This window comes from Homo sapiens, chromosome 5 (assembly GCF_000001405.40).
Source record: "Homo sapiens chromosome 5, GRCh38.p14 Primary Assembly".
NCBI lineage: Eukaryota > Metazoa > Chordata > Mammalia > Primates > Hominidae > Homo > Homo sapiens.
This window is the reverse complement of record NC_000005.10, coordinates 156,687,241-156,705,742: the sequence shown is the minus strand read 5'-3', so window position 1 is coordinate 156,705,742 and position 18,502 is coordinate 156,687,241. Positions and strand designations below refer to the sequence as shown.

The 18,502-nt window shown below is 38.4% G+C and overlaps 1 protein-coding gene and 1 long non-coding RNA gene across 10 annotated transcripts in view; one reads left to right on the top strand and one right to left on the bottom strand.

Moving 5' to 3' along the window:
• Positions 1-1,545, top strand: part of LOC105377673 (uncharacterized) — a 45,769-nt gene extending 44,224 nt beyond the window's left edge. Inside the window, exon 5 of the long non-coding RNA XR_007059015.1 lies at positions 1,468-1,545. This is a non-coding gene — a long non-coding RNA (uncharacterized LOC105377673). The remainder of the gene's footprint in view (positions 1-1,467) is intronic.
• SGCD (sarcoglycan delta) overlaps positions 1-18,502 on the bottom strand; it is a 1,039,957-nt gene that overhangs the window by 62,046 nt on the left and 959,409 nt on the right. The gene's annotated exons all lie outside the window — the stretch shown is intronic.

Genomic DNA, 18,502 nt, shown 5'->3' with positions numbered 1-18,502 from the left:
CAATGTCTAGGCAGAATCAGTGCAAGCTAATCACACACAGCTTATCACCAATATCCAAGATATTGAGTTCTTCTTAATCAGTACAGACTATATCTCTCTGACCTTCAGGTGAGAGTGGCAAAAGGGCTCTCCATTTGCAGATCAAAAGGGTAATCACATTTAAGATGATATAGTATCTTCTAAAATCTTTGGATTTGTATCAGTCAGTTTAGGTTGTTATGTCATAATAACAAGGACCCAGTATTTCAATGACATATGAAGACAATTGCTGATATTCCAGCAGAGGAGAAGAGAGAAAATGGCAAAACCAACCAACGGCTGTTAAAGTTTCTGGTTAGAAGTTGCATGTGCCACTTTAGCTCATACTTGATCAGTCAAAGCAAATCACGTGATTCCCTGACATGGACAGGACAGTATAAATTTCCTCCCAGAAAATGTAGCAAATATATTTTGCAACAGTACAATTTGCCAAAGATATCCTTATTTCTATTATCACAAGTGAATTTCTTTAGCAATTTACTTATAAAATTGTAATAAAAAGATGTCTCGATTTATAAATTAGAACTTTAATATCTGAGAAAGTACCTACTTTATATTAAGGATACCTATAACAGTATATTATATAGAGAAGTTTTTAATAAAATTTGCTGAATCATTATTATGCATGAATTGTTGTAAATTACAGACCTTCAAGGAAGAGCTAAGATGTCATTTCTCTTCTTCCATACTATCTCAAACTTTCACATCAGATTTGGTTATTTGGGTTGATGTTAATAGGGAAAAAAATAGTTGGGTAGGGTTTTGAGGTTGGTTAGTACTTTAGAAAGTCTTTCTTTTTTTTTTTTAATCTAGGCAAGCTACCACCAGGTGAATGGCAGTATTTTGAGCATAACCACATAGGCATCCTATAGGTATTATTAGCTGAATTTAAAAAATAATAAAATGAGGGAAAATGTGCAGCTAATATTTCACTGTATTTTAATATTATACAGTTTAGACCAAAATTTAAAGCAATATAAAACGAAGATACCATTTTGTATCTTGTCATTGCTTGATACCTGCTTTACTAAAATATTCGAATAAACCACTTTTCTATTTTGTGATTTCAAGATATTTTTATATATAATTTCTATATTTGAACATTTTGAATAAAAAGTATCTTTAGGCAAATAGGCATCTGTTGTTTTTACCTGCCCAGTATTCATTTCCCATTCATCTAGCTATAGCAAACTGAATTTCTGTGGGGCTCCACCTCTTCCACATGTTCAGCTTACATGGTTGGAGTGGATCCACTTTTCCCTCAAACTCCAGGAAGAGTCATATGACCTTTCCTTGGCAAATCTAAGCACTAGACTCCCTTAGCTAGGCATTTTTATTTAGGAATAAGCATGTGATCCAAGTCACGTGACTGGGACTTATGACCAGAATTTTTATTGGAATTGTTGAGATTATTTCTCTTTCTTTCAGAGATGAATGAAATGATAGGATAGAAGCCTGGCGGATATCTGGACAGAACTATGCAAGAGCCTTCCTGAGAATGGAAGCCACAGGAGGGAAAACGGAACTTGGGAAAGGAAAGAGTAAAGTGGAATTTCAATGACATCATTTAAATGCCTGGATCCAAAAGTGTCTGGACATTCAATATCAAAATATTTGCTTCTCACATCATATTTCAGTGATGTGAGCCAAATGTTACCTTCCACCACCCTTTTAAGAGTCCACTTGATTTCAGTGTTCCTTCACTTGCAACCAGAGTTCTCACTGATAAGTGTCTATATGGTGGTTCATTCCTCCCTCAGTGGTATATGACAATGAAACAAGAAGGTATGGCAGGTTAAAAGTCATAGGGTACCACAACATTACACACTGAGCCACAAAAGCAGCTCAAAGCCATGGTTTGTGGGGCTCCACCTCTTGCTCTCTGGAAGGCATTAATACATGGTGGGAGAAAATTATAAGATCTATATTGTCACAGAACTTTTCACATAATTATATTGTTATTTTATATTCATTTGCTCCTGGGCTTCATCAAATGGAGAATTTCTTATCTCTGTATCCTCAAGGTTCAACACACTACCTGGCACAAGCTAGGTACATAATAAATGTTCAAGTAAAAGAATAAATGATTCATTTCTTAGTAAAAGCGTTGCCTAGCATGGTATAAAATTGTAACTAAGGATAAATCCCTTTATTTCAATCAGTTTTCACATCATGAGCCATTGATCTTTTAAATGCATGTTAAAAGTAATGCTATTCAAAAAGCTTTCCAAATGCCAGTGTTGAATGACTTAGATAAACGTGTGGTAGGAAGGAAATTCCAGGCAGAGGGATAGCTTAAGTAAAAAAGAAAAAAAAAAAAAGAAATAAATAAAAGAAAAGTATGGGCAAACTCTGAGGCATATGTTTCATGTTCCAGAAGCACCCACTATAGATTCTAAATCTGTTTTATTTTCTCTTGTTTTAACGGTATTTAAAAGTATGTTTTTCATAGTTAGCAATAACTGTGAAGAATCTAAGATTTCATCCTCCTTGCAAGCTAACAAGGTAGCCTGACACAGTTTCATGGATGCTAGCAGGAGACATGAGACTTCCAGGTCAGAAACAAGGGACTTTATTACTGGCGGCATAGCAAGCATTGCAAGCAACATCATGTCAGAGTCAATTTCCCTTGCCCCAATCCCATGGGTGGGGGTAAACACAAATGTGCCCAGATGGATGCCTAAAAATGCAGTGGCTTATATTATAGGAGCAGAACCCAGAGCTTAGGGAGACCAAATCTTTTTTAATGGGCAGTAACTTTACTGGCTTTTGCTCTGGAGGGAGATAGTAATTTTCATTACACTGGGCAATAAGCATGGCTGCACTTTGCTCTGGAGGGAAACACTATATATTTTAAAGCTGTTCACCATTTCAACATCATTGAGAAGATAGTTTAAAACAAAGGACAGCTAATGCCTCACTCAAAAGACATGCAGAAATACAAGAGGCCCATGAGAATTGTCTCCCACTCATAGTAAGAAGGGTAACAAAAAATATAAATTAAAATATTAAAGTCTCATTTTATTAAAACTTGGATATTTAATTTCCCCTCAAATATAACTATTGCCACATAAGAAAAAGAAGCTGTATAAAGCCATTTGACTTGGCAGCTTCCTGATGAATAAAAAGCAAAAATCATACTGCTTTTTATTGAGATTCATTTTCCAAAGAAAGTTAGATTCTTTTGGTTTTGGTTTTATTAGGATGAGTTTCAGTACGCTTCCCCGCCCTGAGTATGTTTGAGGATGGCTTGGGAGGAAAAGTATCCACATTTTGGCTGTACCATTAACTTGATGCCCAGGTAGAATTTATAATAAAAGGGTAAAAGAGTTCATAAAGAGAAGAATATTAAACTGAGCAATAAGGACTTGTTAAGGAAGACTAGAAATGTAGGCCTCCATGTTTAGGAGTAGAAAATTAACCCCAAGCAGAGGGCACAGTGGCATGAATGAAGCAAATTTTAGTCACCCAGCCCTTAAACACTGTTGTAAACAATAGTTAAAGTACTAAGTCAACATTTTATTATCAATTGCATCCTGTAATACCAGCATAAATGCATATAGACCCAGAGAAGGATGAGGCAATTTCAACTGATTGATAAGAACTTTACCTGCATAAGCCTCATTCTTACATACAAGGCAAACAGGGGAGCAACATCATTTAAGTCTGTGAGATTCAAATCACAGAAGCAACCCTAATATAATCTGACAATATAAGACTGAGTTGGTTCTATGGATTTTCTGAGTCTACCTATCTGATTTTTTGTGTGTTATATCTTCTCATAAAAGCATTAAGAATTGAGGATTGAATCTATTTAATGTCCTCAAGAAAAACCATAGTCAATTCATGCAGATGCTATCACTTTTAGCTTTTTTTTGTAAACATACATTATAATATTGGTTATTGGGAATCTTCAAGTTCTCAAATCTTAAAGGGTACTAAAAATCCTCACACTGTTTTTTGAGGTCTGCGCATATTATCAAAACACCCTTGTAAAATGAAAATCTAGGTGAGTCTCTTGTTAAATCTCTTCAGAGGCTTTCTGTTTTACTGAGAATGATGGTCTAATTCTTTAAAAACACTTAGTCTCTTTGCCTCTGGTCTTCCCTCCCCTGCCTCTCTTCCCTTCTCTATCACCAGTGTCCCCCATCCCCAATTAGATACTTTTGAGCAAGGAACTGATAAGATCTGACTTTGACTGAAACACAAAAAGCATAAACAGTCAATTGTGGAAGAAGGAAGATGATTTACAATACAATAATCCAGGCAAGAGATAATGACAGCTTGAACAGTAGAGTAGTAGTGACAATGATGAGAGGTGGTCAGATGCTGGATATTATTTTCAAGATGGAAATAACAGGATTTTCTGACCAAAAAAATGTAAAGCATGAAAAGAATATTATTTATTTATTTATTTATGCATGTCTGAGCAACTGGAAGAACATAATTGCCATTTACTGAGACAGCAAAGACAGTAGCAAATCAGGCTTGGTAGAAAAAACAGAAGTTCTAAGTTAGCATTTGATTTACCTGTTGGAAATCCAATTCCCATGGACTCCACACATACAAATCTGCAGTCCACAGGAGAAGTCCTGGGCTACAGGTAAGTAATGAAGAGTCATCAGCAGAGGGATGGTATTTAAAACCATGAAAGCAGATGAGATAATTAATCTGTACAGATAAATGAGGTGATTGCAAGGGGAGATATGCAAGTTAAGGAAGGTTTCTTCTTTCTCTCTCTCTCTTTTTTTTTTTTTTTTTGAGACAAGGTCTCACTCCATTGCCCAGGCTGGAGTGCAGTGGCACAACCATGGCTCACTGCAGGCTCGACCTCCTAAGCTCAAGCGATCTTTCTGCCTCAGCCTCTTGAGAAGCTGGGACCACAGGGGTGTGCCACTACACCTGGCTAATTTTCTATTTTTTGTAGAGATGGAGTCTCCCTAGGTTGTTCAAGCTGGTCTCTAAGTCCTAGCCTCAAGCAATCTTCTTGCCTCAGTATCCCAAAGTTCTGGGATTACAGGTGTGAGCCACCATGCCCAGCATTATTTTTTTTATAGGGGATGAGAATATATTTTACAACTGATGGTAATGATCTGGGGGAAAAGTCAAAGATACAGGTGAGGGGACAGTAGGTGCCTGTTGAAATAACATCCTTGAATAGGTGCAAAGGAATGAGATTCATTGCAGGAGTTGAGAAGATGTTTTAGAGAGGAACATGGCCAGTTTATCCTGGTAACTGGAGGAAAGTAGATGGTAGTCACACAGGTAGATGTTGTGGTTGGAATGTATGGAAGCTATCTTTTGACCACACCTATATTTTCCCCATGAAAAAGGAAACAAAGCTACCAAGAAGAGAAGGAGGTATAGCAAGAAAATATTGAAGGTTTGAAGAGAAAGGAGAGGTATGCAGTAGCTTTCTTGGAGGGTACAACAGAGAACAGACCGAAGACATGTTGGAGGATCTCTGGACTGTACTGTCAACCCACTTGAGGTTAGGAATCATGACGTTAAAGAGAGACTAGTTAGTATGAGTGTATGTTGTTCTTTGGCCATTGTCTACTGCCCCAGTGAAGACAGAGGGTAGACAAAGAATTAGATTGACTGAGGATGGAGTTTAGTTGGGCGGGAATGATGGAGTAGGGACAGGCAATAGTCAAGACCACCCTCCACATTCCAACCAGATTGGACTTCTTTCTTCATGCCTTCTTTTGTCTCTGATCCTCCTCTGCTCCCACTAAACACTTTCCCCCACTGTTCACTTAGCTACTACTTCTCTTAAATGCCACTTTTGTAGGGAGTGCCTGGGATCTTGATCAATGCCACTACAGTAAACATTGAAAAGGGTTTGTCCCCTGCACCCATCAAAGTACACTTGAATATTTCTCAAGAGCTCTCTCCTCTATATCTCAGAGCTACTCTAAAGAACAGGGTCTGGTGCTGTCTCACCTTTCAGGAAGTACAAGTGAGTGATTGTGGATCTTGTCGTCATTATAAACCTTATTTCTTTTTTGGTTTCCTGAACTGACAGCTAGGTCCTAAGTCATGCATGGTCTTCTTACTTGTAAATATACCTCTTGATTATAATTCAAGGAAATTTAGAAAAATCAAAAACAATAGTCCTTTGTTTGAGAAGAACAAGTCAATTTCTTTTAGAGATTGGGCAGAGATTCCAATTATCACCTTGACTGGCTAGGTAATTTCAAGCTTTAGAAATAGAAAAAAAAAAATGAACTGAAATCACAATTGTAGTCATCAAACTCCGCATGCAGGTACTGATAGTAAAGGAACAGCCTTTCCTTCTAAACTAATTTGTTTGATTTTGTGTTGTTAAGTAGTATTCACTAGCAGTGGTGGTACTAACCACAGGCTTGCCAAAGCAAGATGACTCAGAGGCACAGACAGGACCTCAGGAGTTTTTACCTTCTTCTACTCCACTTTTCCCTTAAAAAAATAGATACCCCACTCTATACCTGATTCCCATTAAAAAAGAAAAATCCTGTCTGTGTCTAGACAGCCATCAAGCAATTTCTCATACAAAAGTGTCTCTGCTGAGTAAGTCTTGATCCTTAACTCTCTTTCACTAAGAAAGTGTTCAGAATGTTTAATTTCAAATCCAGGTAGAGTCACGGGATGCCACACAGAGCAGAATAAGATACTGGGATGACTTTAACAGTCATGGTAGCTGGAGCTTATTCTGTTCTTAACCTCTGTCTGCAAATGTCATGTCAATCTTAGCAATGTTTTTAGAACTCTTTGGTTTGTTTAATTTTTAAGCTACTACTTTTTGGATATTTCCTATGTTCCAGGCAACATACTAAATGCTGTGTGTGTGTGTGTGTGTGTGTGTGTGTGTGTGTGTGTGTATTTTAATTTAGTTTTCAAAATATAATAAGCCGGATATTACTGACTTCTCTTGTACAGACAGAGAAATGAGGCTTACCTAGGCTAAGTACCTTGCCCAAGGACACACAATGGGTTAGGAGCAGAACCAGGACTCCAGGGCTGGTATGTCTCCAGAGCTGTGCACTTTAAGACTCTGCTTCTCTGAAGCAAACTTTCCAAGTCATCCTCCAACAGGGAAATCAGTTGTCTCCTGCAGTAAGGCATAATCATTGCTAGAGATGCACAGAGCACAAGCCGAATACCATCTGTTCAGAATACCCGTGGAAGGGACTCCTGTTCTGCATTAGCAGCAGGTTGGGCCATGTGGCCTCCGAGGTTCCTTCCAGCTGATTGCTACACTTTGCTAAAGGGTTGGAATATTTTAAAGCTGGGCTTGAGATACTGAGTTAGTAGCAAGGTGAGATCATTGTGAGAACCATGAGGGAGAAAACAGAAAGAGAAGAGGCAGTTGCCAGAGAAATCTTTACTTTTTCAACATGTCATATCTGCCCCTAGCCTGCTTAGAGACTGCTGGTCCTGTAAATAAGTTCTTATTCTGTTTGGTTCTGTTCTTATGAGTGATTTCATGCCTAGAAAGTGTGGGTCATTCCATCTGAGCTGAAATGAGGTTTCTAAATTGTCCTACACATACTGCCATTTTACTGTTCCTATTAGACTACAGCTCTCCCACCAAGTTGAAAGTTGTTCTCCAATTTATAAACAAGCAGGGAAAGCAGCAGGACAGCAGAGCTAGGTCAATTATAATAGCAAATGTGGATGAGCCACTATGCCCAGAGAAAACCTTCATTACACACTACTCAAAAAAATTAAGATTCTGAAAACACAAAATGACTAATCTGAGTTGTGACTTCCTCCCCTCTTTCTCCTGACTTGAGAGAGAGAAACATCTTCTTTGTTGCTTCCATCAGTTTTTATCCCATGGAAATAAAATCCTAAACTATATATTAGAGAGTGGGTCATGCATGTATCCGTCAGTCTGTCTGCCCACCCTTCCACCCACCCACTCATCCATCCATCCATCCATCCATCCATCCATCCATCCATCCATCCGTCCGTCCATCCAATACTATCTTCCAGGAACTGGGTATATACTAGTGGACATAATGAATGTGATTCCTGCTTTCACAAAGCTCACAGACCAGTAAGGAGGCAATTATGATAGAGTGTGAAACAGGCAGAGATAGAGAAACTCCAAGGTAGTATATGAGCACATGGCAGGGCTCCTTAACTCACATTTGGCTGCTGAAGGAGAACTTCACAGAAATAGCTCATGTTTAAACTGTTTCCCAAAGGAGGAGTCAGGATTCTCTAGATTAAGCACAAATGTATGAGATTTGGGGGAGAGGGGCAAGGAGTGAACTAGGGAGGGTTTTGAAGTATAGGAAATATGTGAGAAGAACAAAAAAGTACACATGTGGGGAGCAGAATGTCTCTAAGTAGTTCTTGTCCATCTCCTCAGACACACAGTCAGGGGTCCAAGGGAGCTGCGCCATTAAAGCAACAACAACCAAATGCTAAATACTGTTTCTGAAGCAACTATATTGAGATATAATTTATATAGCATATAATTTGCCCATGTAAAGTGTGCAATTCAGTGACTCATTATATTTATGAAGTTGTACAAACATTACGATAATCACTTTTAGAACATTTTCATCACCCCTAAAGGAAACCCCACAATCTTTAGCTGCTACCCCCTAAGGCAATATGTTTTACACATGCAAGTGACCTTCAGATGTTAAAAAAAAAAGATGTCAGTGTTAAGTGCTGTTTAATAGGTCCAGAGAATAGCCAGACACTCAAGCGTCTGGAAACCAGGATGTCTTTCTATGGTGAAGTGTGTGTGTGTGTGTGTGTGTGTGTGTGTGTGTGTGTGTGTGTGTGTTGTGTGTAAGGATGATGGGGAGAGAAGAGGGTTCTAAGAGATCTTAGAATAATAGATCAGATTCTTCAATTTTAACTCTAAAATATGCTTTTGAAAGCAGAAGTTGGGCTGGTTGCTGTGGCTCACACCTGTAATCCCAGCACTTTGGGAGGCCAAGGCAGGAAGATCACTTGAGGCCAGGAGTTCCAGACCAGCTTGGTCAACATGGCAAAACCCCATCTCTACTGAAAATACAAAAATTAGCCAGGTGTGGTCTTACATGCCTGTAATCCCAGCTACTCAGGAGGCTGAGGCAGGAGAATCGCTTGAAGCTGGGAGGCAACCTCTGCTGTGAGCCAAGATTGTGCCACTGCACTCCAGCCTGGGCAACAGAGTGAGACTTACCCTCAAAAAAAGCAAAAATATTTAAATTGCAAGCATTGAGAGAAGATTTTGTTTTCTGTTAAGCCCTCAAACATGGTATAGTCAGAGCAAAAGAGTTTTGAAACTCCAAGCATACATATTTATGTAAGAACAGTTTTCCTATAGCCAAAACAGTTCTTAGGAGAAGAATAAGAGGAAGAACATATTCAAAATGTAGATCCTGCCTATGGCCCAGGACTCTGGGATGCTGGATGGAGAAGTGCAGCATCAACTGGAACTTCTCCTAATTCATGGGAAAAGTTCCTAGAAAACAATGAATCACTGCTTAGCTTCACAGTTGGAAACTAAGTCTCAATGACAAATCTCAGGTCTTTCTTGGTGTCTGAGTAGCAACGACTGAGTGGCATAACTAGGGAGATAATTCCCGAATCTCCTGACCCCACATGAACAGTTCCAGAGTCTCAAGGTGAGGGGCATCCTAGAATTTCCCAAGTACCCAGAACAGGTTGTAAATGGCTAAGAATTGGCTGGTAGGCCTTGAGAGGCCTCATGGTTGAGAAAAAGAAAGCACAAGTGTTTCATGTTGACAAAACAGGTACTGATACTTAAAACCAGTGGCTCATCTCAAGAGAATGGACAAGTCTGATGAACACAAACCAGACATCTTCCTCCAAGTCAGGAAGACATGGGATTCTTCTTAGCCCCTATGTTTATAAATAAAGTTTTATTGGAACACAGCTATGCTGTTTGTTACAGCCACTGTCTATGACTGCTTTGGAGCAACAAAGATGACAGAACTGAGTAGATGCAAAAATTATATGTCCTTCAAAGCCTAAGATACTTACTTTCTTGCTGTTTACAGAAATTTGCAATTTGTCAATTTCTGGTGTAGAGCCTTAATTGTTATAGGATATAACACACCCACACCACATGCATACGCTTTAATAATCAGTGTTCTTCAGGGAAACAGAACCAGTAGGATATCTATCTATCTATCTATCTATCTATCTATCTATCTATCTATCTATCTATCTATCTATCCATCTATCTATCTATCTATCTATCTATCGAGAGAGGTTGATTTATTTTAAGGAGTTGGCTTATGCAATTATGGAGGCTGGCAAGTCCAAACTCAGCAGGACTGGAGAAGAGTTGCCATGCAATTTGGAAGGCAGTTTTTGGCAGAATTTGCTCTTCAGTCTTTTTCTATTAAGGCCTTCAATTGATTGGATGATGCCCACTCACATTATGGTGCCTAATCTGCTTTACTCAAAGTCTACCATTTAAAATGTTAGTCTCATCTAAAAAATACCTTCACACACACATCTAGACCCATGTTTGACAAATTATTGGGGTACTGTGGCTTAGCCAAGTTAACACATAAAATTAACCAACACACACACACACACACACAAACACACACACACACACACACACACAAACACAGTACCTTTGAAATTAAGAACATGGCACTCTCCCCTCTGTTTTCCTCCTAAAGATTTCTCTGAACTCATTTTGATTGGTTTGCAGTTAAGAAGGAAGGAAACACAAAAATTCTGCAGTAATATTCATTTACTCAGTGCTCCAAGAAAGAATATATTTCACTATAATAATTCACAGTTTCTCTCTAGGATGAGATAAAGGTAAATATTTCACATTTCACATTCTGGTTGTTTTGGTGTAGCACCAGCATGAAAAGGCTAAATCCAAGTGGATTTTTATTTAAGTCAGCTGGCATAAAGATGACACATTCCTTTTTTCTCAGTGGGAAAACCAGACGGGCCTAATTAAAAAAATGTATCATATCAATCTTCAATTATGTCGCAGTGGGGAGGAGAATAATGTAGTCTAAAAGTCTTTAGGTCTTGGAGAATGATGTTTTAATTAAATAAACACATTTTTATTTTTGTATTTAGGAAATAGCTTTAAAAACAAAGTACCAGGGTCTGGTTTTAAGAGGAAAGGCTGAAGAATAAAAACTTCTGTTAATAATATCTTGTTTCCCCTTACTTGTATACAGTGGGTGCAATTTCTGCTCTATTTCTCTGACAGGGTTAGTGTGAAAAGCAAACAATATTTAGAAAAAAAAATTAAAAATTGTAAAGCACTATACAGACAGACAATGATAAAGCAAGTGGCCAGAATAATCGAGTTGGCTATTGTTCAGATTTGAATGTCAATGCCCAAGAAGTTTAAAGGAACTGTCAGTGAATGCTGAATACCAAGGCAAAGAGAAGGCAGAGGAGATGTACTTAAACAGAATCCAACAAGCTCACCTCAACTCCCAGATCCAGGAGTCAGCACTTCCTCTGGAAATTACAGTGACCTGGGTGAGAAGGTGAGTTCTGCAGTTTAGACGCCAAAGCTCCCACTGCTGGAAAACTTTAATTAGACAATGTATTGCAGCCTTAGCTACTGGAGATGTTATATTTTACCAGACAACCATAGAACCTCTTAGAGTTCAAAAAATCCAGGTTGCAATTGCAGATGTCTCCAGGGCCCAGGCAGGGAATGTAAGAGTGAAATACATCACAAGTCATTGCAAGTACAATGATAAAGGGCACCTGACTGTCAGCCTGTGTCAGGGAAACAATAAGAAGTAATGAAGAATGGGGAGAATAATAGGCTACCCATCCTCTCTGAGGGTAGAAGCTCTATTAGAAGATCCCCGATTCTTACCATGTAAAAGGAGGGTCCAGGAAAGATAGAAAATCCTTCAATTTCTAAGTATTGGCAGCTAATTCCAATTAGAAAACCAAAACCAAACTACAATCCATATGTTAAACACCTACAGACTGTCAACTGCAATTTGTGATACAATCTACCCTTCTGATTTTACTGAGAAAACAAGACCATAGAAAAGTGACTAGCTCAGGAGCAACCAGACAATTAGAGGTCAGTTCCTTCTGCCTCTAAACAATTTCCTTTTCATCACTACACTATGTTGAACAGATGTATTGATGTCCCCAACATTTTAAATATTTAACATAAAATGGGTATCTGCACCCTAATATTCCTAAAGAGTATTTTCTCATATTCATTTTCACCTTCTCAACTATTTCTCAAGATAAAAATTAAACGATTGTGAAAGAGCATAAAGAAGGTATAGAGGTCAGTTCATGTAGTTCTTTTCTGAAGTCTGGGGATGAAGGAGGCACTGGTCTCCTTCTCTATAGGCAGTCAGAGCATGTGCCCTATCTCTCTGACAGGGTCAGTGAGAAAAGCAAATGATTAATGAAAAACAAATATTAGCTCTAAACTTACTTGTTTCCCTCCATGTCTCTCTTCAAGGTTTTTGTCAGACATATCTGAACTTTGTGTAGCTATTGGACTCTAGTTTCAAACACAGCTTGAGTAGAAAAAGTAAAATCTACCAAATGGAACATCAGAAAGTTATAAGTTCTGGTTGAATATGGCTAAGGAAGTTTAGGTGTATTGGAAGCCATGTTTTATTAAAACAGTACATTATTCTGTGATTTTTCCTCTTTCGGGCTGAGTGACCTCAGATTCACTGCTTAGTACATGTGCCTCAGTTTGTCTTGTGATAGCAGTGTCTTACAGGGCTCTGAGGAGGATAAAAGGAGGTGACTGTGCTGTGTATAGTGTCTGGCACACGGTTAGTGCATAATAATTGCAAGCTGAGCCTGAGGATTTTGCATACTTCCAAGTACATACACTAAATTTTGTCTACAAACTTGTACATACAAATTGCAGGCTAATTAGGTTACAATGCAGTTGATTTCTAAAACAAATCATTAATTTTTAGACCCTTTCTAAAATATAACCTATCTCAGTCTGATTTCCTCTTAATATTACACACTAAAAAACACTTAGCAATTTAAAAGCATTTATTTTATAACAACCAAGGCACGTTAGGCAGTTAGCCACTGGTCAGAAAAACAGTTTGTGAATGCTATGATGTCTGTGATTTGCTTCTAAACAATATAGAGATGGAAAAATGAAATAACAATTGGCTGTGAGTTGATAATTGTTGAAGCTGGGTGATAGGTACATAGAGGTTCATTATACCATTGTCTCTTTTGTATATGTTTAAAATTTTCTATAATAAAAGGTTAAAAATAAACAGCCTCATGTATAGCAGAGTTAGATCTTCAGCTGGCGCAAAATCTAATTTGTTTCTCCCCACTCCATCATGCTGCTGATGCAGGAATGGCAGATATCTAGCACTTGTGCCATATCTCCCCACGCTGTCACCCATGGCAGACATTAATAGTCAATCACGATACTCCTCATCTCAGGACTTCAGGCAACTACTGTCAATTGATAGGAATTGTTAGATGAGAAGAAAACTCTTCATTCTCATTGTCTTATAAATGAGGAAGGTCATTATTGTACTTAACTGCATTTTCTTTAAGTACTTTGTAGAGTCTTGAGATGATTAATGCTTAGGATTGTAAATACTGTTATTTCAGGAAATTGGGATTTATGTGGGAATTTGTTTTTTACTGTGAACTTCTAATTTGATTTTTATGTGAAAATGAAAGTTACCTAGTCACAAGTTGAAAGTCTAGCATATTAATATCAGTTCCACACATCAAAATTTCCTTTTCATCATGATATATTAAGAGCTTCTCCTTTTACATTCTAACAGTTCATATAATTTTGATGTGTATTTTTCTCTGATTTGCATTATTGATTTGGATAATGAAGAACAGATGAAACTTGGTGCTAATATACATACATTTTATACTTTTATTCATGTTCAGCAAATCTAGCATATGCAGATATTCAGCACATGCTAATTCGGTTGCTGGGGTCCATAATATTCCAATCTAGGGGTTGGTAAACTATGGCCCATCGGCCAAATCTGATCTGTCATCTGTTTTTGCATGGCATGCAAACTAAGCATGGGCTTTACATTTTTTAATGGTTAAAATTAAAAGAATACTTCATGACATGAAAATTTTGAAATTCTGATTATCACTGTCCATAAATACAGTTTTATTGGAACACAGCCACATCCACTTTTTTAGGTATTTTCTGTGGCTGCTTTTGAACTACAATGGCAGGGTTGAGTAATTATGTCACAAACTGTATGGTCCACTGAACCTAAAATATTACTATTACAGAAAAAATTTATTGACCCTTATTTTAGTTCACCTCTGCACAAGGGAGCTTTTTGCAATGCAAGTGCTCTACATTTGTGTGGTCCAGTATAGCAGCCACATAGCTATTGAGTCTCGCACTATGGCCAGCATGCCTGAGGAACTGAATTTTTATTAATTGTAATTAATTTAAATAGCCACATGTACCTAGTAGACAATGCAGTTCTAGTTTGTCTATAATGGAAGTTTGGGTCTCTCTCTTTTTTTTTTTTTTTTTTTTGAGACAGAGTCTCGCTCTGTTGCCCAGACTGGAGTGCAGTGGCACAATCTCGGCTCACTGCAACCTCCACTTCCTAGGTTCAAGCGATTGTCCTGCCCCAGCCTCCCAAGTAGCTGGAATTACAGGCACCCACCACCACTCTTGGCTAATTTTTGTATTTTTAGTAGAGACAGGGTTTCACCATGTTGGCCAGGTTGGTCTTGAACTCCTGACCTCAAGCAATCCACCCACCTTGGACTCCCATAGTGCTGGGATTACAGGAGTAAGCCATTGCACCCGGCTCTGGATCTCATTTTGACTTTCAAAGACTACAGTATCCTTGCCATCTCCTTAACCATCTGACTTTAACAGTCATCCTATTTTTTCCCATACAACTGACTTTCATGTTACTAAATCCAATATACTATTCTTGGATTTCATTTTCCTTGGCATCTCTGCTACATTAAACCAATGATTTTCTCCTTTCTGTGCTTCTGAAATTGCCTTCTAACTCTGTTTATTGTATACTCCTTTTCTTCCTCTTAAAAGTAGACATTTACTAATGACCTGGCTATGTCTTCTATTTATAATTGTTTTCCTGACAATAACTTTTATTATTATGGCATCAACTCTCACATCTAAGCAGATGAGCTTCTGCTTAGATGTGAGAGTTTGTGCTATCTGTAACTCCTGGGCAGAGTTTCTGTAAGTCTGACTTCTTGCTGTACATCTCTACTCAAAAACAACTCACCAGCATACAAACCAAAGCTTAGCTTATACCACCTCTTTCTATTCCCTTGAGTGCTCACTTTTCCCCAAATTTTCCAGAAAAACTTCCAGTTTCAAGACTCATTAGCTTGGAGTCCCACTGTTGTTTTAACATCATCTGTTTTAACCACAAATTTTAAATAATAACAATAATAATACACCTTGATCAAGAGCATGGGCTCAGTAGGCTGCCTGGGTTTGAATCTCAGCTCTATTCTTTCCTAACTCCATAATTCTAGGCAAGTTTCCTTCCTCCCTGGTTCCTCTGCTCTCTCATCTGTAGAACAGGGCTAGTATAGTACTTACCTTCTAAGGGTGTACAATATGAAGATTAAGTGAATTAATATTTGTAAAGCATTTAGGACAGTGTCTGGAAGACAGTCACTTTTAAATATGTGTTTAAATAGCAACGGCATATTTTGAACATAAAAATTATGTTTTGAAAATAGCCATTTCATACACTAAAAGGGGTAATATTTTGAGAATTATTTACCAAGATATCACAGACACTACAAGACATAAGCTGTATTCTACATTTAGTTTGCTTCTCTAGGCTGCTATAAATAACAGCAAGTGTTTCGTGTCTTTATCAAATAGTTCTGGATATTTGGATGAACACATAATGACTATTTCCAGGGCTTAAGACACAGAACTGATTTGAATTCTCTCTTATCTTTAATCTTGAATAATCTTCTTACCATCCTTTCTGTCTTTTGCTTTCCTGTTCAGAGCCTCCTACCTGTCAAGTCAGAACAGCCCTGATGACCTCAACCAATTGCCAACAAACACGAAATCCCAAATTCTCAATTTGGATGGTGGGGTCTTTCATGTGCCTACACCACTGGTAATTTCATTCTCATTCTTCTGTGATCCAGGGATTATGCTTCCTACTTCCCTTTCCTTGGAGATCCAAATTTCGTCATTTTTTAAATGATAAACTCAAGTACCACTTTCCCCCTTGATCTCCTTTGCCTCATCCAAGATTTCGGGATATGATGCCTATCCCTCATATTCCTTTTTGGTATGGTACTGCCCTTTCTAGACTATGGCTTCCTTTTGTATAAAGGCTGACATTTTGAGATCTTCGGGAATTCCATGTGCCTTGCATCAGAAGGCTATCCAAAAATGTGTGTCACTTTGTCCCAAAGAAGCCCAAGGAGAGCTATCAATCTGTTTTTTAAACAACATTTTATACTTGGATTAATTTTGGATTTCGAGAAAAGTTGTAAAAATAGTGCAGGGAGTTCCTCTATACCCTTTGCCCAGCCTCCTTTAATATCACCATCTTATATAACCAAGGTACGTTTGTCAAAACTAAGAAATTAACACTGGTACAATCCCATACTATTAACTAAACTACAGACTTTATTTGGATTTTACCAGTCTTCTATGTCTTTTTGTCTTTTTAAAATGCAGGATCCAATCTAGGATAGTACACTGTGTGTAGTAACTTGTTTTCAGGTGTAAATGGACACATTATATGACTGTGGCATACAAAAGGAAAGAATACGGAATTTGTGAGAAAACCCAGGTTTGAATCAGTTTTTGAAGCACCATGTGCATAACACTGAAGAAATCAGCTAAGCTCTGAGCCTCAATGTTCCTATTTGCACAAGAGATATGATAGCCCTGGTAGGTTTTTGGCTGTCCAGCATCTATCCCCTTCTTTGCAGATTTCCTTTGGGGATTTTCTCCTCACTGAATACCATCCAACAGAGCCATCGAGTCAAGGGGTGGGGAAGGAACCCAATCTGAAATAGCCTGGCAGCCCTGCCTGGGATATGACTCTACCATGACAAAGAGGCAGAAACCAGAGTTTCTTCACTGTGATCAGACTCTGCTGGTTCCCAGGATTTCTACCTGCGAGCCTTCTGAAGCCATCTTACTTCTCTCCTGTCTCTAGGACCCTTTCCAGCCTCCTGTTAATTTGGGGAGTTTCTGACATCCTTTAAAAAAATCCCCTTTTAGGTAATTAATCAGAATGAGTTTCTGTTGTTTACTATCAAAGACCCTTAAGTAAGAGGGCAGGTGGAGTAGCTGCTGCTTGGTTATTATGAAGATCAAATGAGCTAATATCTATGAAAGCCCATCATTATAAACAGTACTTGCTGTGAATAACCTAGTGGATAAATGCATTCAGATAAAATCCATTTGGTCACTCTTTCATTCAACGAATATTTAAATTCCAAATATTTATAGGTGTCAGCCACTATGCCAAAAATAGCAACTGGTTTAGAATAATTATTGGGAGGAGGGAGAGGATCAGGAAAAATAACTAAAGGATATTAGGCTTATTACCTGGGTGATCAAATAATCAGTACAACAAACCCCCGCGACACGAGTTTACCTAATAACAAACCTGCACATGTACCCCTGAAATTAGAAGTTAAAAACAATTATCAAGACAACTCAAAGCTGAAGTGTTCTGTAGTACACCTGGCTGTGCAGTGAGATAGTGGTGTGAGTACATCTGTTGGGGACATTGGGAAGGGCTGGGGTAGGTGTCAGAAAAATTTCTCATGCTTCCTAGAATAGCTGAATGTCTTTCCTCTGGTCACTAATGCTACGGTAGTGCATACCTGGGAATTAGGCTGGTAACGAACGATGGTTACCATCCATTCTCCCTCTACCAGCCAGCAACATGGTGATCAGCTTGGGAGAAGCAAGGCTGTTGTTCCCTGGCACTAAGTAAATGGCATGTTTTTCTTGTGCTGCAACCAGCATTGGGTTCATATCAGCACAGCTTGTCAGCAAATAGCAATTTATGACACAAGTTGATGCGGAGGGAAAGGAGGGTCAGTGAATGGAAGCGTTACACATTTTCCTGGCGGAGGCTGCCTGTTTTACCAAGTACATTATCTGCTGTCTTCTTCAATGTGCGGCTTTGATAACAGTAACATTTTGGGCCCATTCAAAGTTGAGGAAAGAGAGTCTCCGATAGCTATTCAGTTCAGTGACATAATGCCAACACAAGTTGAATTTTATGCCTTCAGTAAATAGCTCACCTCCCCTTTTCTTTTTGTTCTGTCTCATGATCCTTGCCAAGTGGTTTTCAGAGAGGAAAAGAAAATAACATGGAATGAAAAGATGGGAAGCAAGGAAAGCCTGTTTCACTTGAATGTGTCTTTTTAATTCTGCTGATTTTTAGACCGCCTCCATCCCAATCTGAGCCCCCCACATTTGTGCTGGGTGGGAAGAATGCATTAAGATTCTACAGTC